Source organism: Homo sapiens, chromosome 8 (genome assembly GCF_000001405.40).
Source record: "Homo sapiens chromosome 8, GRCh38.p14 Primary Assembly".
Classification (NCBI taxonomy): Eukaryota; Metazoa; Chordata; class Mammalia; order Primates; family Hominidae; genus Homo; species Homo sapiens.
In genome coordinates, this window is record NC_000008.11 from 81,699,502 (window position 1) to 81,722,590 (window position 23,089).

Below are 23,089 nucleotides of genomic sequence, written 5' to 3' on the forward strand. Positions count from 1 at the left end.
ATTTAGAAATAGAGGCTAGAAACTGAGTCTTTTCCCTTTCTCCCACATCTTGTTCTCTTTAGGAGACAGTTCCTGCTGCAGCCACCAGTCCCCAGTACTAAGGATGCTAGCTCCTGTCTCCACCAGACTAGTTTGCTCCACTATCTGGGACCACACCTAACTTACCACCAGTAAGCCTGCTAATATTAATAATATAAGTCCTTCCATCCAGACTGCCTTGTCTCTTTTCTATCTAATCATTGATAGGACTTCTTCATTCTCCTTAGGTTTAACTCAATTCCTGTCAGCCTTACTTCCCCACTTCTCAACCTCATTATTTTTCTGGCATAGTTTTAGTCAACTGCATGACCATGTGCTGATCTTCTCGTATGTGCAAGTAATTGTGCTAAGCATTACAGTATTAGTTGTCACTAAAATTTATTGGTATCTGGGCATATATTTAAGTGTTATACTTTCTGATAAAAGAGTTATTGGAACATAGGCATACTGATTATCTACTAAATTAGCATCCGCTACACTACTTTGTATGTAAGTGCAAACATAGCACATGTTATGGCACTCCATTTTGTGTTGCATCAGATTAAATCAAATGCAGTCTTTTTTGCTTTGTCACCAGGCTGGAGTGCAGTGGCATGATCTCGGCTCACTGCAACCTCTACCTCCCAGGCTCAAGTGATTCTCCTGCCTCATCCTCCCCAGTAGCTGGGATTACAGGCGCCCACGACCACACCAAGCTAATTTTTGTATTTTTAGTAGAGACAGGGTTTCACTATGTTGGCCAGGCTGGTCTCGAACTCCTGACCTCAAGTGATCCACCCGCCTCGGCCTCCCAAAGTGCTGGGATTACAGGTGTGAGCCACCACGCCCGACCTACCAGAGCCATTTTTCTAATAGCATGCATTTACTTTGTGTATCTGTGTCACAGTCTGGTGAGTCTCTCAATATTTCAAACTTTTTCATTATTATTACATCTGTTTTTGTGATCTGCAATTAGTGATCTTATAATTGTAGATGTGGTGGAATTGGCAAGAAAACAAGAAGTAGAAGTAGAGTTTGATGATGTGATTGAATTGCTGCAATCTCTTAACAAAAGCTGAATGGATGAGGTGTTGCTTCTTATGGATGAGCAAAGAGTGGTTTCTTAAGAGGGAATCTCGGCCGGACATGGTGGTTCACGCCTGTAATCCCAGCACTTTGTGAGGCTGAGGTAGGCAGATCACCTGAGGTCGGGAGTTTCAGACCAGCCTGACCAACATGCAGAAACTCCGTCTCCACTAAAAATTCAAAATTAGCCAGGTGTGGTGGCGCATGCCTGTAATCCCAGCTACTCAGGAGGCTGAGGCAGGAGAATCACTTGAACCTGGGAAGCGGAGGTTGCAGTGAGCCAAGATCACACCACTGTACTCCAACCTGGGCAACAAGAGTGAAACTCCACCTCAGAAAAAATAAATAAATAAATAAATAAAATAAGAGAGAATCTCCTCCTAGTGAAGATGCTAAGAACATTGTTGAAATGGTAACAAAAAATTTAGATATTCCATTATCTTAGTTGATAAAGCTGTGGCAGGGTTTAAGAGGATTGACTTCAATTTTGAAAGAGGTTCTACTCAGGAAAAAATGCTATCAAAAGCATTGCATGCTACACAGAAATCTTTCATGAAAAGAAGAGTCAATCAATGTGGCAAACTTCACTGTGGTCTTATTTTAAGAAGTTGTCACAGCCACCCCAACCTTCTGTAACTACCGCCCCAATCAGTCAGTAGCTATTGAAATTAGGCAAGACCCTCCATCAGCAAAAACATTACAAATTGTTGAAGGCTCAGATATTATTAGCATTTTTTAGCAATAAAGTATTTTTTTACTTAAAGTATATACATTTTTTAGACATAATGCTATTGCACATTAAATAGACTATAGTATAGTGTAAACATAATTTTTATATGCCCTGGGAAACAAAAAAAAATTTGTCTGGCTCAATATACTCCAATATTTGCTTTGTGTGGTAGTCTGAAACTGAACCCACAATATTTCCAAGGTATACCTGTATGTATACATATCATCATTGTATTAATCATGGCAATTAGGACAAATCCCTACATTTAGTGGGAACTCAAATAACTATGCTAATGAATGAAAGTACAAGAACATAATAAAAGTTGGAAATTATCTCCATTCCTCACATAAAAATAATATGAAGAATTAGAAAGGAAATAAACCAAATGAGCATTCCAAATTTATTCCTTTTAAGTAAACCTATAGCCACTACATATGTCCCTGACAATTAGAACAGAAAACAAAAAAAGGACAAATAGAAATACTTTCCATTCTGTCTATATAGTAGTAGTTTTGGGGGTATAGATAGTAAACACTAGTCAAGAATACTCGTCTAAATATGTTGGTAAAATGTAGTCATCATTTGGCATGTGTTTTGCTTTGGTATATAATGAAGTTGAGCTATCCCATCTTTCTTCTCTATGGAATATAGTCACACAAACAAAAAAGATGAATCTCACTAGAGGTGGGTCTTTATCAGAAATATGCCCCAATCTAGTTAGGTAATAGAAAGAAAATCATTTTCTCCTCCTAGGCCTAAGATTCTTCATGTAAAAATTATAAGACTGAATAAAGATCACTTCTAAGTTTCTATAATTCATGTAGATATATCAATTTATACATCATGATGTAGACAGACAGCAAGGCTATACTTTCTGGCTCCATGATGCTAGGCTTGGCCACATGACTTGCTTAAAGCACGTATGATACATGCATCTTTTAAGAGAAAACCGAAGTGTATTTCATCTCTTTCTCTCTCTGCTAAAACAATCACAATGTCCCAAAAGAGATCCCTTCCTTTGCCTTTGATCATGGTAAGAAGATGACACAAAGCAGTGTCACAGCCAATCAACAGCTGACATCCCCCACCAGGAAATACATCTTTGTTGTTGTCACTACAGCATAAACTAATGAAAGCTAATTAAATATAAGAATTTGCTAATAATTGAGGATCCGTACACAATTAAACTTAAAACCAAAAAACTCTAATAGAAAACTCATAATTTAAAATGTGACATAAGGGGAAATAAGTTAAAAAGCAACTTTTAAAAATTACAAAAATAGTATTTGTAGTAAAATAAATGGACTTAAACATGTAATAGAATTTTCCCTGTGATTTCTGACTTGAATCTTTGAATGACTATTCCAAGTAAGATTCAACATTTTTACAGAATTGTTCTTCATCATTAAGATATTCCAAGATTATATTTCCACCATTATATAAAGGACAATCCTCCTTAGCAATCCAGGTTTCCAAAGTATGATCCAAGGGTAAGGCTTCTCCTGAAGTAATGTGACACAGCCTTAATTTCTGTGAAGGGAGAAGTAAGTCATACTGTAATAAATAAACATGCTTGAATGGAGCATCATAAAACCTTTATTAATATAGAAATATTATTATAATGAGATGTTACCTTAGCTGTAAATTTGTTATTGTCATTTTTAAGCCTGGCTAGAGAAGCGGCAAAGTCTATGGCCTTTCCAATGCTCCATCGGTGGCAAAAGAACATTGGTTTGCTCTTCTCTTTGCTCCCTTTAGGTAAGAAAACCTGAAAGTAAATTCTTTCTGTCTGTAAAAAGAAAAAGTTAAAACAACCATTACATAGACAAAATAGACATCAGTTTTTGTCTGGTGCCAACCGTTCCTCTCTTCTGGTCAGAGCAGAATTACCTTCTAACAAGGTATCTGCTACTTGGAATACCAATCACAGTAGCCAAAAACACACATAAATGCATGGGCATAGGACCAAGACCCTGGCCAGGGTGATCTGTGCAAAGACAGATATGTGGCCTAAGTTAGGCCAATCAGATCTGTTCCTGGGATTTTATGTTCAACAGCTTAGGAGACAAAGAGCACTCTCCTTATTTATTTATTTATTTATTTTTGAGAGGGAGTTTCGCTCTTGTTGCCAACGCTAGAGTGCAATGGCACGTTCTTGGCTCACTGCAACCTCCGCCTCCAGGGTTCAAGTGATTCTCATGCCTCAGCCTCTGAGTAGCTGGGATTACAGGCACGTGCCACCAGGCCCAGCTAATTTTTGTACTTTTACTAGAGACGGGCTTTCACCATGTTGTTCAGGCTGGTCTTGAACTCCTGACCTCAGGTGATCCACCCGCCTCGGCCTCTCAGAGTGCTGGGATTACAGGAGTGAGCCACCACACTCGGCCTCTCCTTATTTTTTTAAGTTTTATCAAATTAAACCTGGAGTTGCCTACAGCAAACCCCGTCACCTAACAGCCATTCCTGAACCAATGTGGAAAAAGTTTCCTCGAATGGGAAAAAATGAGGTCAATGTAGAAAGAGAAATAACAAGAAAACAGATGAGCTCTTTCAACATAATCTGAGTTCCTGAATTCATCCCCTAAGACCAGATCAATTCATTATTCCCCATTATATGAGGAAAAAAGTTTGTTTTGATTTTCCTAGTTGGAATCAAGTTTCCGTCACTTGCAATTCAAAGATTTCTGACACATACAACATTTCTTTTTATGTGAAAGACCTCACTATGTATTTAGACAGAAGGACTTTTCGGAACAAGGAAACATTAAAAACAAAAAAAAAAAAAGAGATAGAAAAAGACCTCCAAACCCCAAGTACCTTATCAACAAAAGAAAGGACTTGGAAAGGATTTCTCTAGTATTCTATATCTTATCTGCCCTCTCCTTATATTGTATTTTCTTGCCTAATTAACAAATGGATGGCTGAGCATGATGGCTCATGCCTATAATCCTAGCACTTCGGGAGGTTAAGGCAGGCAAATTGTTTCAGCCCAGGAGTTCAAGACCAGCCTGGGCAACATGGTAAAACTCCATCTCTACAAAAAGCACAAAAAATTAGCTGGGTATAGTGGTGTGTGCTGGTAGTCCCAGCTACTTTGGAGGCTGAGGTGGGAGGATCACTTGAGCCCAAGAAGGTCGAGGCTGCAATAAGTGGTGAACATACTACTGTACTCCAGCCAGGGCAACACAGTAAGACCCTATTTCAAAAAAAAAAAAAAAAAAAAAGCAGGAAAGAATGAGTAGGAGCAAAAGGCTTGGCCTTTGCTCTTCACTGATTCCGAAAAACTGCTTTTTAAAAGTGCTGGCTTTACAGGTCAATTCTTGCTAAAACAAAAATTTTGGCATAACAGGAGCATCTCTAACTTGTGGGGGAAAGATCACAATTATTCTGAGAAATAATAAATCCAACACAATTCCCAACTCAGCACTAAGGAATTTAGATTTGTTGAAGACCAGTGGGGTGTGTTATTACAGGTAACGAGTATTAAAAGAAAAAACAAGAAATCACTGGAAATTCAAACTGTGAGCCACCTCTATAATCAAATATTACCTGCTCCAAAAAGAAAGCAGCAAGAAGATAAATATAGAAAGAGAAAATTGATAAGATATAGCCTTATCTTTTTTTTTTAAAAAAGATAAATATGTATGAGGATCAAAAATGAAACAGAAATGCAAAGTGATAGGCTGGCTAAGCCACAGGCTTTCAGGGCTCCAGAAGAGGAGGAGGTCAGCTTATAGGTAAGTGGGAAATAACAGCACCACAGGGAGATAAGTATAAAGCTCCTGGGTCAGGCTCCCTGCTCGGAAGCAGAGGAGTGTGTGGGACCTCTGCTCTAGGAAGGGCAGCTAAAGTTACTGCTGAATGCTGACTTAAGTATAAAATTGCCAGACAGGGATCTGTGAGTGAGAGGAAGGAGAAATATAGGAAGAACCTCCTATTCAAGATGAACATTTTAAATGCATTAACTGAAATTTCAAAACAAACTGAAGATTAACTCATTATGGGCAAATGAAGACAGCTGAACTTTAAAAAGACATTTAAAAAAGGTAGTTAGGATGCACAATTAGATAAAAAAGGAAACAAGAAGTTATAAAACCAAAATAGGCACAAATAAAACATAAAAGACATGAAGATCCAAGTCAAAAAATGAAAATTAAAAAATAGTTTCTGGAGTAAAACATTCAAAATTTATTATAGATAAGTTTCTATAATCCTCAATAAAAAGGCCTAATTTATTATAAGATGGATATAAGGAAGTCATCCACAATACCGCATAAAGAGACATAAGATAGAAACAATTATAGGCTGGGCATGGTGGCTCACACCTGTAATCCCAGCACTTGGGGAGGCTGAGGTGGGCAGATCACTTGAGGTCAGGAGTTCGAGGCCAGCCTCGCCAACATGGCAAAACCCCGTCTCTTAAAAATACAAAAATTAGCCAGGTGTGGGGGCACGCGCCTGTAGTCCCAGCTACTCAGGAGGCTAGGCACGAGAATTGTTTGAACCGGGGAAGTAGAGGCTGTAGTGAGCCGAGACTGTGCCACTGCACTCCAGCCTGGGTGACAGAGTGAGACTCTGTCTCAAAACAAAAACAAAAACAATTATAGATCCCCAAAATATGTCGACAAGAGATTCAGAAAAGAAGAAATGGTGAAGTAGCACTATTTAGAGAGAAAATGAGTAAAATTTTCCAAAAAGTCAAAATTTACAATGTGTCAAACGGAATAATTAAAATAAATCCACACGTAGAAACATTCCACAGAAATTGGAAAATATCACAAGAAATCTTAAAAGCTACCAAAAAAGATAGATTACTCATAGAGTAAGACTGACACAGATGTTCCTCCAATAATAGATGACAAAGTATATTAAAAGTGTTGAGAAAGTTTAATAGGCAATCCAGCTAAAAGTAAGGGCAAAATAAGGACATGTTCAAAAAAGACTCATAGAGTTTATTACCAGAGACCTTTATTAAATGAACTGCTAAAGAATGTACTTTAGTAAAAATACAAGTAAGCCCTAAGGAAGGAGAAACAAAAAAAAAAAAAAAAAAAAAAAAGAAGTGTTGGTAAATTTTAATAGCTATTAACTTAGAATTAATTTTTATGTTAAAAAAAGATGATGGGATAGGAGAGAGTCAACTGGATAAAGCCTTTCAAGCTCGTATTCAGGAGGATATAATACCAACTAACTTCAGGCTTTGAGAAAAACATTGATATTTAATTATATATGTTAAGAATGTAAGCACATAGTTGTTATCACCATTATCATTTTAGGATATTATATTGGAGATTATAGATAATGTAGTATGAAAAATGAAATAATGAGTATAATTATTTAAAAAATTAAAGCTATTCTTATTTGTTAATGAGGAATAATTTTTAACTAGAAAATTAAAAAACACTAGTAGAAAAAACTTCTAAAATTAATAAAAGATTTTGGTGATGTAGCTGAATAATATGAGTATACAGAGCTGAAGATTTTTTTTCTCTTTATTAGAAATAAGTACTTGGCAATAGAAGTGGGGAAAATATTCTGTTCTCAACCTAAACAAAAACCGTAAAATAAGTAGCAATGAAAATAAGGAATACAATATAAAAGAAGAAAAATATGAAATGTTACAGAAGGGAATAAAACATCTGAATAAATAAAGACATATAAGGTCCTTACAGAAAGACAATGTCATAAAAATGTCATTTCTTCCAAAATTAATGTATGGCATATAAAGCAAATCCAGTGTGAATCCTTCAGGAATGGTTCTGAGTCAGGCCAAAAGCCTAGACTTGCTAGTAGATACTGCTGGGATTTCAAACTGTACTTCACCTAACTTCATAGAACCCACTCAGGTATTCATTAAGGATGTTTTGCATGCATTACTGGAAGCTTAGGAGCAGGAAAGGAGCTGGAATCCTCAGGACATAAAAAAGGAGGCCAAGATGGTATAAAATCTCCAGGAGAATGGCAAAGGGGCCTTCAAATAAATGGTCAAATCCTCACTTCCTCCAGGCAATATTCACTCATCACATCCTTGTGGGAAACATGAGGGGATGTAGGAAGCCACATTTCTGTCTAAGACTATGCTGTGCTATCTGTTGCTTTTTATAATCATACTCTCAGCTTCCACATTTTGCTTTTAAAGAGTCCAACTTCTTTAACAGGCTATGTTGAAGTCTGTTATTCACAACCTTGCCCCATTATGATAACCTATAAATCCTAAGAGTGGTATTTTTTAAAATCTGAATATAATAATCATAACATTCAGATGGATTAACAAATGCTAATAAAAATACTAAGAAAAAAATGGAAAAATATGGATGGGACTTGCATGATCAGATATAGAACATTCTATAAAGCTATTGCACCAAATCAATTTGGTATTAACTTATGAGTAAAAAATAAATGAGTAGACTGTAACAGAAAATTAAGAAATAAATCCATATACAGAAATAAAATGTTCAACTTTTCATGAAGGTGGTATTTTGATATTTCAATCCAATAAAACATAGATAACTTATTAAATAATCAGTGGTGGCAAAACTACCTAAACAACTGGAAGAAAATAAAATTAAGCCCTCAGCTCACATCATATGCTAATTAAAAAAACAGGTGGATTAAACATTAATCCCAAACAAGCCAGGCGCAGTGGCTCACGCCTATAATCCCAGCACCTTGGGAGGCTGAGGCAGGTGGATCACCTGAAGTCAGGAGTTCGAGACCAGCCTGACCAACATGGTGAAACCCTGTCTTTACTAAAAATACAAAAATTAGCCGGGCCATGGTGGCACATGCCTGTAATCCCAGCTACTCAGGAGGCTGAGGCAGGAGAATTGCTTGAACTCAGGAGGCAGATGTTGCAGTGAGCTGAGATCGCACCATTGCGCTCCAGACTGGGCAACAACAGCAAAGCTCCATCAAAAAAAAAAAAAAAAAAAAGGCTAATGCAAAACAAAACAAACATACCCACAAAACCCAAAGGAAAACCACAACAGGAATGAAAGAAAAGACAGAACTTGGAAAATGTAAATGTAAAATATTGCTATGTCAATTAGAAATATAAGTAATATCAATACACTGATAGATTTGAAAAACAATTTACAAATAATGATTTTAGATAAAGGATTAACATCTTTTATAGTCTAGGAGCTCCTATAAGTTGACCAAACAAAATAAAAAGAAAAATATCCCAAAAGAAAAATGATCAAAGCATACTCACTAACAATTCAGAGAAGGGCAAACCCAAATGCCTAAAAAACATATTAAAAGTTGTCCAAACTGAATAGTAGTCAGGAAAATACAAATTAAAGCAATTATGAAATATCTTTTTATAGCCACCAGACTGTAAAATATTAAAAAGAATGCTAATAGCTACTGGAAACCATGGAGAAAAAGGGTACTCTCATGTTTGGCCACAAGAGGCAGTATACGGAACTGGTTAGAAGGGCAGGCTCTTACCAAGTTAGTGCTCTTAAAAATACTTCACTCCAGATTACTCATCTGTGAAATTAGGATAAAAATATATCTCAGAAGAGCTGCAAGTACTAAAGATGATTAAAAAACTAGAGCCACAAAACTATACTTAGTATAGGCAATCCGTCAATGAAATTTGATTCGAAATGTGAATTGTAATTTCTTTGTAAAGTTGTTTGACAATTTTTATTAAAATCTAAAATATGCGTACCATTTGACACAGCAAACACACTCTTGGGAATTTATCTCACAGAAAGAAAAGTACCACACAGCCTATTTAGCACAGTAGCCAAAACTGGAAACAAAGTGAATGCTCATTAATTGAAAAATGACAAAATAAGCCACAGTACACCCACACCACAGAAGAGAATGCAGTTTGTAAAGAAAATGATTTAGGGCCACACCAACTCACTTGAGGGAATTTCTACTAGGCATTAATGAGAGAAGGATATATAGTCTACCCCAAACCTGCTTTAGTTTTATTTATAGCCCTAATCACTACATGAATTATTATATATTTAATATCTATCTCAGCCCAGTGGCATATAAACTCCAGGAACTCTAGGTTCATAAGGGCAGAAGGGATTCTGTTTTATTCACTACTGTATTATCAGGGCTTGGTATATAGAAAGTATTTTTTTTTAAGTGTGTTGACTAAATGATTGATACCATTTTTATAAAATAATGACAGAAAAATATTCTTTATGCCTTTGCACACATATACAAGTAGAATACATTTTCATTTATGTAAAATGATATACACACACATATAACAAATACACTTACACATATACGTATATACATGAATACAATATGCATGTATATATTATACATGTATGTATAAACACATAAGACACCCACATATATCTCTAGTATATCTATACTTACACACACACAAACATTAATAATAAAGGGAAAAACTTTTATCTACAAACTTATAGAATGCTTTATGATATATTGTTAAGTGTGTGAAGAAGATGGTTTGTGAAACCAGACTGCCTAGTTTCAATTCGTAGTTCTCCACTTACTAGCTATGTTAATAGAATGTTACTCTTTTTGGGTAACAGTTAATAGTGCATACCTTATAAACTTGTTGCAAGGATGAAATATGTTAGAAGATTGCCTCAAAGTAAGTCTTATAGAAGTTTTTACTGTTATGTTTTAAGTAATAGAAGAATTGCAAAGTAATGTAAGTATTACTGAATACTTGAGAGCAGGTCTTCTCAACTTTGTCCCTATTTACATTTTAGGCCAAGAAAAAATTCTCTGTTGTCGGCCTTGTCCTCTACAATGTAGGAATTTAACAGCATCTCTGGCCTCTACCAACTAAATACCAGTAGCACCCCATTCCCAACTGTGACAATTAAAAATGTCTCCAGACATTGCTGAATGTCCCCTTAGGGAGCAAAACTGCTTTCAGTTAAGAACTGCTGCTTTAGGGGATGTAAATGGATGAGAGACACAGGAGTGTGTATGTTTTTTCTCCATATGCATCTTTTGATAGTTATACTTGTTAAAAGCTTATACTACCTTTGCAATTTTAAAAAAATCAAACAAAATTTCAAAAAAGGAAAATATCAGGGGTAGTCAATAAAATAAGAAAACTGTAATCAATTGTTTCTAAGCCATCAGAACAAATTCAATACAAAAGGAAAGAGAAAGAGTCAAAGAAAAAGGGTGATGAGCAGAAAATACATGATGGAAGAAATATGTTCAAATACACCAATGACCACCATAAACAAGAAAGGATTCAATTCACCTACAAAAGAGAGATACTATCAAACTGGTTTAAAAAAAACAAAGTTCAGCTATATGCTGCTTACAAGAGACACCCTAAAACAAAACAACAAAAAAAGTTGAAATATAAAGCGATGAAAAAATTACATACTTGTTAAATATTCACCAAAAGAAAGCTAGTGAAACAATATTATAATTCAAAATAGGGTTAAAGGCAAAATTCATAAAGAACATATAACAATGAAGAAATTCTATGTACTTGATAATACGTAACTCTACAAACTATTAGAGTTATATAAAAAAATTAGCAAAAACACATCCATAGTAGGAGATTTTAACCTGAGAAAGTGATAAATCAAGTGGACAAAAAATTAAGTACACACATATACATATGGTACATATAGACAGAAAGAGACAGCAGATGATAAAGCAAACACAGCAAAATATAAATAATTGGTACAATTGGGTAAAGAATATGGAAAAGTTATTTGTACTATGTTTGTAACTTGCCTGTGTTTGAAATGGTAACAAAATAAAGACACCAAATAAGTATATTGTTATACCTAAACAAGTATATTAAAAATAAACAAACTGCCGGGCATGGTGGCTCACGCCTGTAATCCCAGCACTTTGGGAGGCAGAGGAGGGTGGATCACGAGGTCAGGAGTTCAAGACCAGCCTGACCAACGTGGTGAAATCCCATCTCTACTAAAAATACAAAAATTAGCTGGGCGTGGTGGTGCATGCCTGTAATCCCAGCTACTCAGGAGGCTGAGGCAGGAGAATCGCTTGAACCAGGGAGGGGGACGTTGCAGTGAGCTGAGATCGCACGACTGCACTCCAGCCTGGGCGACAGAGCAAGACTCTGTCTCAAAACAAAACAAAACGAAAATAAAATCAATAAATTACCATTCTATGTGAAAGGCTGGAAAAAGGATGTCAGAGAAAAATCTAAACAAAGCAGAAGGAAATAATATAAAAGCAAAAATTAGTGAAACAGAAAACAAAACACAGAGGTCTTTAAATCCAAATCATGGTTCTTTGAAAACACTACGAAAAAATAAGGATAAACTTCTAGCTGTTCTGTCTAAAGGAGAAAGAAGGAAAAGTACAAATGAAAAATATTAAGGAAGAAGCAGAATGACTAAAGACACATAAAGATTCTGAAGTATAACAGAATAACTTGAACAAGTTGAAAATAATAAACTGAAAAATCTACATCAAACAGTTTTTTGGAAAAATATTTACCAAAATTGACTTCAGAAGAAATAGATTATCCAGATAAAGCAAGAAGTAACACATTGGAATAGTATTCAAAATTCTCCAAGAGTTACTACAACTGAGTGTTACCAACCTTTGAGAACAAATTCCCACCCTCTACAACTACCTCAAAGAATAGAAGAGAGAAAGCTACTCAACTAATTTTTAAGCATAATCTTGCTATTAATGTCACTAACACACACTAAATAATGTTAGCAAATCAATTTCTCAGTGCATTTTAAAAGAATTATATACCAGAGTCAGTGATTTATCCTGGAATATTTGATGATCTAACGACAGAAAAACTGATCGATAAAATTTATTACATTGATGAGGAAAAAATGATCATCTTACTAGATGTAATAAAAAAATTTACAGTAAAGTTTAATATCCATTCATAGTGTAAATTCCTAGCAAATTAGGAATAGAAAGAAATAATAGTATCAAGAAAAAGGCTACTTATACAAATTCACAGTATATCTAATACTTGATGAAACTTTAGATACATTTGCATTAAAGTCAGAAACATGATTAAGATTCCTTCTATTGCCCATATTATTCAACATTGTTCTGAAGATCTCAACATTAAGACAAACAATGATAATGAACACAAGAGAAGAGAAAATCTGCAGAAAAAACTCACAAAAATTGGCATTTGGAGAAGATATGACTACACAGAAAATAGCCCAGAAAATCTACAAAATATGGGAACTATTAGGAATTTATTTGCTGGATAGAAGGGCAACATAACATTAACCAACAATAATTAGCTAGGAAAATGTAATTTTTTTAAAAAGGTATTATTTATAATGACAACAAAAATTATAAAGAGCCTAAGAATAAAACTAGGAAAAGGTATGTAAATATTTATGGTAAGCATTATAGAAGGTTACTTCTATAATTACACATAAAAGGAAACCTTAAGAAAAGTTGGGAAGATATACCACAGACATAGATGAGAAGAGTCAAAATTCTAAAGATGTCAACTCTCTCTAATCTCAAATTCAGCATAATTCCTACCAAAATCATAATTTCACCGAACAGGGCAAAGTGATCCTAAAATTTTTATTAAGGAATAAATGGCCAAAAATAGACATTGTTGGAAGCACTAACAGAAAGAGACAAATGAGTACAATCACTGACAACAGGAAGTTGACCATATCTAGTAAAGCTGAAGATCAGCAAAGCCCATAATCCAGGTTTTCTATTTCTAGGTATATTCCCTAAAGTAGCATTTTTTAAACAGTAGTCTCAATCCATTAGGGATTGGAAAATCAACCTGATAGGTTCTAACAATCTTTTTTTGTTTGTTCGTTTGTTTGTTTTTGTTCGTTTTTTTTTGAGACGGAGTCTCGCTCTGTCGCCCAGGCTGGAGTGCAGTGGTGCAATCTCAGCTCACTGCAAGCTCTGCCTCCCAGGTTCATGCCATTCTCCTGCCTCAGCGTCCCGAGTAGCTGGGACTACAGGCGCCCACCACCACACCTGGCTAATTTTTTTGTATTTTTAGTAGAGATGGGGTTTCACCGTGTTAGCCAGGATGGTCTCGATCTCCTGACCTCATGATCCACCCATCTTGGCCTCCCAAAGTGCTAGGATTACAGGTGTGAGCCACCACGCCCAGCCACAATCTTTAAAACAGAATAACAAATATCATAATATAACACATATAACACTCAACTGTGTTAAGGTATGTATGTATATATATATATTGGGTTGTTATATAAAATAACTGATATTGTGAAGTTTTAAAGGAACAGTCCTAGAGAAACTCTTCTACATATACACAAGGATGGTCACCATAGACAGTTTATAATAGCAAAAAATTGAAAAAAATCCGAATTTTGTTGACTAAATCTCAGCATGGATAAACATTAACAGCACATCCCAAGTGGGAAAAAAAAAGACAACTCGAAGAAGTATACATATGGTTCACTATCATGTCTATAAAGTGAAAAAACTCAAAAAACTTTGTATTATTTATGCAGACATATACCATGCAACATTAAGAATGATACATACCAGGTTTAGGTTAGTTGTTAATTGATGGGAAGGAGGAATACAAAGAGGACTTCAACTATATTTGAAATTTTTGTGTTTTAAAAAATCTCTAAGACCAACCTGTGGTAATGACTTATCGCCATCAGCATGCATCTTTAATTTCATCAATGCAACCTTTGCAGCTGTTTCACTATTTTTGGCACCTTTCCATCGTTTACTTGCTGTTTCTCCTGTCTTGGAATCTAAGAAGTGTAAGCATGTAATCACATAAAACTTTCACATTACAAATAGAATTTTATTATAATACACTTATTAATTATGGCTCAGAAACATATATAAATTACACACAAGAGAGATATACAGAGACCACATTCATTGTATAGGTATTGTATTTACATTGTCAATGGAAAAATATCATTGAGATTGATCTAGGCAATCTCCACATCAAAAAATCCACTATAATGTGCTTCTTTTCAACTTAAGCCTATTTAACCTAAAGCAGTCATTAATGCTTCTACAGACAACCTTAAGATTTGGTTATGCAAGATTGTAATAAAGGTACTATCCTTAATATGGAATAAAAATTCTGAGCTAACATACTGGCAGGCAGACTGATTTAAGTCACAGATACATTCATTCCTGGTATCTCTTATTATCAGCAGCATTCACAGAACAGCTGACTAGGCTTAGAGTTTAATCTGTAGAGAAAGCAGCTGACTACTTCAATCTCATGAATACCATTTCTAGCCCAATGGTTAACTAGCTAATCTAAGTGGCTCAGCAAAAGAGATAAGTACTTACAGTGGAGTACCTCCAAATAATTTCCAAATTTCCATCGGTCAGGTAGACCTCATAAGAAATACTGTCACAAGAATATCATCAAAATACAAGTTAATACGAATACCACTGGGGTTATTAATGATGCCTCCCATAATTGGAAAGTAGATATAAGAAGCAGGAGCTCTGGAACTAGGAAAGCAACAAAACACGCTTTCTAGATACTTACCAATAATGTCTTTAACAAGTTTCTGAGTGGCAGCCATTCGAGGCTTTGGGATTTCCAGTTTTTCACACTCATGATCTGACTGATGACGGTGTCTATGAGCAACAGAAGAGTGACACTAGTTCATGTGTTTGTATAGCACTTAAACAGATATACAAAGTGTGAACAGCCTAAGTGATCAATCACCTCAGGCAAAAATTCTTCTCACAATAAGGACATATAACTGCCACAAGTTCTCTCTCAGCACAGTCTTTGAAAGAGCATGGGTAAGATGTATGTTGATCTGTCTTCAGTCTCTCATTGATTACAGTCACCTGAAAATGCAAAAAGGAGGAAATGTATTACATTTCAGACCTAAAACAAATCAATGTGTCTTATTCTAGAAGGCAGTATTCATTTTATTTTTGCTTAAACTTATTAGAGCAAGTTACTTACTCTCAAAGATTATAAAGAATGTTTTATGTGACAAATGATTACTATACTGACTGTTCCACACTTTCATAATTTTCCTACTGTGGTATATTTGTCTTCTAAGTCAAGTTGAAATGACTATTTAATTACGCTCTATAATTTTAACCTGCTTTGTAACAGTCTCATACAAAGGTGCCCCTATGATATGCTCAGGTAATTATCTCATCAACCCTCAAATGGCAAGTCAACCTAATTTCCACACTAATTTTAGGAGATGAAACACTTAACTCAGAGAATAAAACACTTAAAAAATATTTATTTATTTGTGAGATAAAAGGTTAAAGACGGTTTTCATAATCATATATTATTCTCTATGCCCTATTTCATATTTTTATTACCAGCAAATACTCCACTACAGGAAGAAAGATTTTATAAGACTAAAAAAAAAAAAAAATTCTAAATCAGCCAGGCTATTCTGAGCATTAACAAACCAGGTTTCTAAAGACGAGTAAACGTAGGGAAATAATTGCTTGAAAACTACAACCAAAGGGAATTCCTTTTTATAAATAATAGTTACACCTTGTTGGAATTAATTTAAGTATCTTTTTGAACTTGTTGCAATGGCCTAATGATGTTTCAATATTTAATTAACGAGACCTAATTATCTGAGACACATTCAGAGGAATCAAATTATATCCTAAGAAAAAAGAAAACACAGGATAGATTTATAAACTGCAAGAAACTTCAGTAAGTTTTATTGTATGACTGAATATTTCCTCCAATTAATGCTGCATAAAATCAACATGCTAGGTAATTCAAATTTTCCTCAAATAGATCACGTAAACTTCAAAGGGTCAGATTTTGACTGATCATTTAAACTGGAAAGAATCAGATTTCAACTGAACCTCATGTAACTTTAATAACTTTCTATAACTGAGAGAACAGATGTGAAAATATTTGGTAAAGCACTTGGTAAATGGTGGGCAGGAATAAATGTCCACTGAAAAGTGTTAGAACACATTGAACATGGTGGGCTTAGCTTTCTCTCTTCCTCTTGGAACTGTACTGCCTTCAGGGAGAAAGCCTAACCTGGTCCAGTACTGCTGTGACTGCTGGGCAAGTCTGCCTAATTCTGGATATTCTTTGCAAACCCATTTGCTCTATGCTGAACTTCATCATTCAACTTATCTTTACCAGTAATAAGGGTAATATTTTGACTTCTATTTGCCAGACCTTTCTTAACTTATGATTTGTGCAAAATTAGGGTAGGAATTTTATTAAACTATAGGTTTCTTCCTGGTTGTCTTAAGTCGACTGAGCCAGAATGATTTACTACCACAGATCCTATCAGCAGGCATCAGTGAAAATGAACACAACAGTGAAGGACACAGTGAACTGGAGGGAATATATAAGGAGGACATTAACTTACGTGTATATTTATAAATATATAGCCTTGGCTGGGCGCGGTGGCTAACACCTGTAACCCCAACACTTTGGAGGCCAAGGCGGGTGGATCACCTGAGGTCAGGAGTTTGAGACCAGCCTGGCCAACATGGTAAAACCCCATCTCTACTAAAATACAAAAATTAGTCGGGCGTGGTGGCACGTGCCTATAATCCCAGCTATTCGGGAGGCTGAGCCAGGAGAATCACTTGAACCCCGGAGGCGGAGGTTGCAGTGAGCCGAGATCGTACCACTGCACTCCAGCCTGGGCAACAAGAGCAAAACTCCATCTCAAACAAAACAAAACAAAACAAACAAATAAATAAATATATAGCCTTATACTGTAAGTGGGCTACCTAAACAAATGTTAAGGAATAAAAATTATGAGGATAAAAATTTACAAATACCAAGTAAAACAATTTTTCTTTCAAACAAAGAAAAATAATATAAATGAAGCAAAAGCCTCTTTACCTAATCAGTTTAGTATGCCAAACTTTAATCTGTGATACTGACTGCCTTTAAATCTAATCAAATTCTGAATGAAAGTACATAAATACGAATACATTTTATCAGATTGGAAAAATACTAACATACCTCAGGACAACCATGAGACTCCCTGCTTCTGTGTTCAAGGCTTAAATAATAATAGCAAGTGTTTATTTAAATAACATACTTAAAGATAACTGCAGAAATTTGCGATATTTTAATGTTCAGTATACTTAAGATACATTATGCTCATACTACATTAATAACTTTGAATATGAGAAAAAACTGAAATGTCAGATAAAGATGGAGCATCTATAGTCTCAAAAGTTTTAAAACACAAATGTTCAACTTCAATATGAGTAAAAACAATTCACCACCCTAAATTACGTTTACGTTGCATGAAAATATAAACATATCTTTCAGCTCTTTTTATTTCTAAAAGATCATCAGTAGTAAAATGTGAAAAGTGCTCTAATTCCAAATAATTTAAAAATATACATTACTTTTATTTACTTCCAACAAATCATTCTGAATTACATTCTGAAAAAAATTCATTCTTTCAGTGCTCTATTTTATAATTTAAATGCTTGACATTTTAAAGTTTAACTGTAAGGAAAATCCATTTTCCAAAATTCTTCATTAATTCCCAGGTTTTACTTGGCATGTAATGTAGTCAAATGCTGTGATTCCTATTTTAAGGCATTTATAGGTTGGGCTCTTTTCATTTTATTAATTAAAATAAAGAGCAATAATTATAACTGGATCTTTACCATATTCTTTATATTGTGAATATTATTTTCTCCTTGTAATTAAAAGACAAAAATATAACTTTTATATAAAATTCACATACATAACCCCACTTTTGGAAGTTTAAAAATCAGTCATATATATGGAGAAGTAATCAGAGTCTATAACTATACTGAATATCAATAATCAATGGCTAAAGTAACAATTATTTTAAATCATTCTACTTTTCAGAAATAACCTCATATTAATAAACACTAAAATTACTCCCAAATCCTGCATAAAAACTTAACTTACCAAAATATTCCTGAACAATCATCACACACAAATGGAAGAAAATCTAAAATTGAGAGAAAATGTATATACTGGTCAGTATCTGATTTTGATTTAGTTTTCTTAAGCAAGAAGACAACCTCTATGGAAAAACTTCCCATTTTGACTAATATCCTAGTGTAGCAAGCACTATGTAACCACTCTAACAAAATTAATCACAACTTCAATAACTGACAGAAAGTAATTGGATTAACATAAGGTATTAATAGATGTTACTTGTAACTTTACTAAGTCAGACAAAAATAAGTTCTAGTGGTTTTCTTTTTCTTTTTTGTTTTGTTTCCCAGATTTACTAGGTGTTGTTTTTGATGACTGTATACTGCAAAAATTCCGCATTTGGAGTGAAAAACCTGGGATTCAATTCTGATTCCACTGCTTACTAATCTAACAGTGCTAGGCAAGTTACTTAACAGTAAAACTTTGGATATATATATTTTTATATATATCCAATAAATATATATATTTATATCTGTGTACTAATATATATGTGTGTGAACAACATATATATATATATATCGCCAAAGCTTGACTATATTCAAATATATTTATATTTATATATACACCTATAAGATTTATGGTATTTCAAATATATATAATTTGATGTAATATATAGTACAGTTAGTATAAAGTATATGTGTGTGTGTTTCTATATATGTATGTAAATAAACATATACAAAACCAAAGCTCTTTTATTGGGTAAGAAAAATAGAAAGATATAGACAGGTAGATACAGAGACAGATATAAAGATACAAGCACATCCTTTCTGTGTATATATGTATATGTGTGTATGCATGTGTATCTATATCTGTATCTATGCTGTATGCCACACCGACCTCACAGTGTACTTACAGAAACCAAATGAGATATATATGAAAGATCAGAATAGTAATACAGTAACTATAATTAATAAGAATAATACAACAATTAACTTCTTTTGAGTATACTCAACTCAGAACAGTACTGCAAGGGGCCAGGCACAGTGGCTTAAGCCTGTAATCCCAGCACTTTGGGAGGCCGAGGGGGGCGGATCACCTGAGGTCAAGAGTTTGAAAACAGCCTGGCCAACATGGCGAAACCCCATCTCTACTGAAAACACACACACACACACACACACACACACACACACACACACACACAAATTAGCTGGGCGTGGTGGTTCATGCCTGTAATTCCAGCTACTCAAGAGGCTGAGGCAGGAGAATCGCTTGAATTCAGGAGGCAGAGGTTGCAGAGGGCCGAGATCGCGCCACTGCACTCCATCCTGGGTGACAGAGCCAGACTCCATCTCAAAACAAAACAAACAAACAAACAAAAAAGGACAATACTGCAGTGACTGGGTGGAGATGCTTAATATTTTGCGACTTTTAATAATCAAGTATTAGATGCAAACCAGAAGGACCCAGGGGAAAGAGTTAAGTCAAGACAACTTCCCAGCACCTGATACCATCCTTCAATCCCTCCAGAAGGTAGATAAAATTTAGGATATACACTTGACGTAGTCTAAATCTTAACTGCTTTCCACTAGTCCCAAACAGATAGGCCTGGCCTCATCTCAGTTATTGACACTAAAGACATATATAGCTGGAAAGGAAAATGAACTATGTCATGAATGGCATATAATGTGTATTGGACTCACTAGCGAAGGATCAGGCATAGACACACATAATTCACAGTCAAAACCCAAATGGCTAAGCTTCCACATGAAAAAAGTCACACTGGCTTGTTATTACAGCCAGTGGTGAAAGATAGATAGATAGATGGCTATAAGTAACAAGAACCTAGAAGGGATTGTGTCACCTGTCCTATCACGCATTCCCACAGTAGAAATCACTAATCAATTATGGAACTCCACTGAAACTGGGCTAAATCTCAAGAGTCTTTGACACGGTAATTCAGGCACTTGATACCAATGACTGAAGTTCCAAGGGGAGATTAAACCTGTTTGCTACCTTATGTAGTGTGTGAAACCTAGTAACAACGACTGAGCAGTCTGTGTGGTTCTAATGCTTCAAAAACTTGCCTTTTCAAGGTGTATGGCATCCTGAAGCCAATGCCACATCACCTTGGACTAGGTATATCCCAAGGTCTCTCAGTGCAATGGGGAGAGCCCATTGCCATATTATTAACTAATTCTCTCTAAAATGCAGCTTACTAGTTGGAAAGGTCTTCCGTGTAAAAGACTGTAGTTTACACCCTTATGTGGTCCAAGCACCAAAATCAATAATCTGTAAATGTTTGTTCAAACAATAATAATGAGAATCAGGGAATGACAGAGCTGGGAGAGCATGATGACCATTTGGTGGAATAATCTGAGGATCAGGATGCCTTTGAGAATTTGATAAAAGCTAAGGAAGGGCCTTCTTCCGGACACACATCCACGTGAACACTAGTTGGGCGAGTTGACCTCCCCCAACTCCTCCTGACAGCTACGTAACAGATAAGTAAAAAAAAGTATGGGAAAGTAGCTGGCCGTAGGTCGCAGTGGCAAAGCCAAAAGACAACAGTCCCAGACCAAACCTACGCGTCCCCATACCCGCGCTCAGCAGAGTAAGTGTGAGCCACGCGATCCAGCAGTGGGCTTCGTGCACTGCTCGGACACGGCACACTCGAACACCAAAATGAACACTGCAAGGTACGTTTTCAGGAATTGCATGGCTTCCTTCCAAGGAGACCACACGTCATTTCAAAAGCTCACGGCCAAAAAAAACCCGCACCAACCGATCTCACTGCAGCCCCAGAAGAAACGCTCCCACCCCGCTCCTCAGGCCCTGCCTCAGGAATTGCATGGCTTCCTTCCAAGGAGACCACACGTCATTTCAAAAGCTCACGGCCAAAAAAAACCCGCACCAACCGATCTCACTGCAGCCCCAGAAGAAACGCTCCCACCCCGCTCCTCAGGCCCTGCCCAGCCTTGTGGCCTCCCTTCACCCGCCGCCACCATCCGCGGAGCCAAAGCGGAGCCCTGGTCTCCCGCGGCCGGGGATGGGGGCTGGAAGCTCCCGGATCACCTCGCTGCCGGCAATGCTCCACCTGGCAGTGCTGCCCGATGTCCAACTCCGCCATCTCTCCGGCGCCGTAAGGGGCGGGGCAAAGCCTGAGGGGCGGGGCAATGAGCGCGCGCGGCGCCTGACGGGAGAGTGGCGGACCCAGAGGCGGAGTCTACAGGTGGGGGCGGGGCCTGGAAACCAGCTGTGCGATTTGTCCTAGGTGCATTCGCCGTGACCAGGAAAGGCCACTGTTCTGTGAGTGTTCTTCTCGGAGCGGAAGGCCTCTCGCCTAGTCCTTAAAGAAATACCCACCTGCAGCCGGGCGCGGTGGCTCACGCCTGTAATCCCAGCACCCTGTGAGGCCGAGGCGGGCGGATCACCTGAGGTCAGGAGTTCGAGACCAGCCTGACCAGTGTGGCGAAACCCCCGTCTCTACTAAAAATGCAAAATTAGCCGGGCGTGGTGGCACATGCCTGTAATCCCAGCTACTCGGGAGACTGAGGCAGGAGAAACGCTTGAACCTGGGAGGCGGAGGTCGCAGTGAGCCAAAATTGGACCATTGCACTCCAGCCTGGGCAAGAAGAGCGAAACTCCGTCTCAAAACATAAAAAAAGAAAATGAAAAAGAAATGCCCACCTGCCTTTCTGGACGACTGCTTACCGCGGTTCCCTGCATACGGCCACGAAAATCAGCAACGGCTTCACATTTATTTTTTTAAAAGTTAGTAGAACTCCAGGAACCAGAACAGTGCCGGGCACACAGTGTTGCAATAATCAAGCAAAAGAGACAGACATGGGTTATTCAATTCCTGAGCCATCCCTCAACCAGTGTTACTTGATTATGTAGTGTAACATACATGCCCCTTGCAAAACAGTCATCAGGCTTTTTAAAAAGTTAATATTTCTTTATCTTTGTCCTTTTTTTTTTTTTTTTTAAATTCTGGTAGGGGGAAAAAAAAAGTCTTAACTCCTGAGCCCCTGAATGTGTACTGAACCTTACAGAGTTCCTCAGAGAACCCAGACTCATTTAGCACAACTACCTGAAGAAAGCTTATGGGATTCCACTGGGATGTAGGGGAGTATCAGGTGCCTGGTGAGCCACTGCAAAGGTACTGAAGGAGAGGTACTTCTGGGTGGGGTACATATGAATGCCATTCCACCAACGTGATGCCAGGCACCATTCAGCGTGGATGGGTGACAATCACCTGCACTCCTGACAGGAACTAGAAAAGTATTCGATGCCTCCTATATACCTTTGGAGATTCCCAATCAATAATCACTGAGGAAGGGCGAAGGGTGACACTAGGAAAGGGGAATCATTTCTTCTGCATTTGCTCTTGAGCCAATCTATTTAAGATTTCCGTCTCAGAATTGCTTGAGTCTCTG

At 36.7% G+C, this 23,089-nt stretch overlaps 1 protein-coding gene across 7 annotated transcripts, besides 4 other annotated features; it reads right to left on the minus strand.

Moving 5' to 3' along the window:
- Window positions 1–1,829: 1,829 nt before the first annotated feature.
- On the minus strand, window positions 1,830–21,803 carry ZFAND1 (zinc finger AN1-type containing 1). Of its 7 annotated transcripts, none has more exons than NR_033193.1 (8): window positions 21,726–21,803; window positions 18,681–18,723; window positions 15,486–15,613; window positions 15,303–15,394; window positions 14,417–14,538; window positions 9,287–9,328; window positions 3,468–3,623; window positions 1,830–3,364 (listed from the first exon to the last, which is right to left on the minus strand). NR_033193.1 is itself a non-coding variant. In NM_001170796.1 (8 exons), exons 1-8 carry the CDS (start codon window positions 21,778–21,780, stop codon window positions 3,194–3,196), a joined length of 786 nt encoding a protein of 261 aa, NP_001164267.1. In that variant the 5' UTR covers window positions 21,781–21,803; the 3' UTR covers window positions 1,830–3,193. The 7 variants fall into 7 exon arrangements, 3 of the variants coding, with proteins under 3 accessions (NP_001164267.1, NP_078975.2, NP_001164268.1); NM_001170796.1 differs by lacking the exon at window positions 9,287–9,328 and adding an exon at window positions 17,748–17,787 and having other exon boundaries at window positions 3,468–3,602; NM_024699.3 differs by lacking the exon at window positions 9,287–9,328 and adding an exon at window positions 17,748–17,787 and having other exon boundaries at window positions 1,836–3,364; window positions 21,726–21,799.
- Window positions 20,833–21,777: an enhancer, noted in NCBI's record as "NANOG-H3K27ac-H3K4me1 hESC enhancer chr8:82632569-82633513 (GRCh37/hg19 assembly coordinates)". NCBI's record gives its function as "activates a minimal SCP1, AML or CMV promoter by ChIP-STARR-seq in primed H9 embryonic stem cells {active_cell/tissue: H9 hESC(primed)}" and the evidence as "EXISTENCE:reporter gene assay evidence [ECO:0000049][PMID:30033119]".
- Window positions 21,295–21,434: a silencer, noted in NCBI's record as "silent region_19330". NCBI's record gives its function as "represses an Ori minimal core promoter by ATAC-STARR-seq in GM12878 lymphoblastoid cells {active_cell/tissue: GM12878}" and the evidence as "EXISTENCE:reporter gene assay evidence [ECO:0000049][PMID:35858748]".
- Window positions 21,465–21,534: a silencer, noted in NCBI's record as "silent region_19331". NCBI's record gives its function as "represses an Ori minimal core promoter by ATAC-STARR-seq in GM12878 lymphoblastoid cells {active_cell/tissue: GM12878}" and the evidence as "EXISTENCE:reporter gene assay evidence [ECO:0000049][PMID:35858748]".
- Window positions 21,705–21,754: an enhancer, noted in NCBI's record as "active region_27584". NCBI's record gives its function as "activates an Ori minimal core promoter by ATAC-STARR-seq in GM12878 lymphoblastoid cells {active_cell/tissue: GM12878}" and the evidence as "EXISTENCE:reporter gene assay evidence [ECO:0000049][PMID:35858748]".

What these genes read in the sequence shown, in the direction of transcription:
- ZFAND1 (NM_024699.3), bottom strand. Translation starts at nt 21,780, where the DNA reads ATGGCGGAGTTGGACATCGGGCAGCACTGCCAGGTGGAGCATTGCCGG. An exon ending in GGAGCATTGCCGGCAGCGAG is followed by an intron (nt 18,724 to 21,725) that starts GTGATCCGGGAG and finishes TCTCAATTTTAG; the next exon opens with ATTTTCTTCCATTTGTGTGT. An exon ending in ACTTGTTAAAGACATTATTG is followed by an intron (nt 14,539 to 15,302) that starts GTAAGTATCTAG and finishes TACACTTCTTAG; the next exon opens with ATTCCAAGACAGGAGAAACA.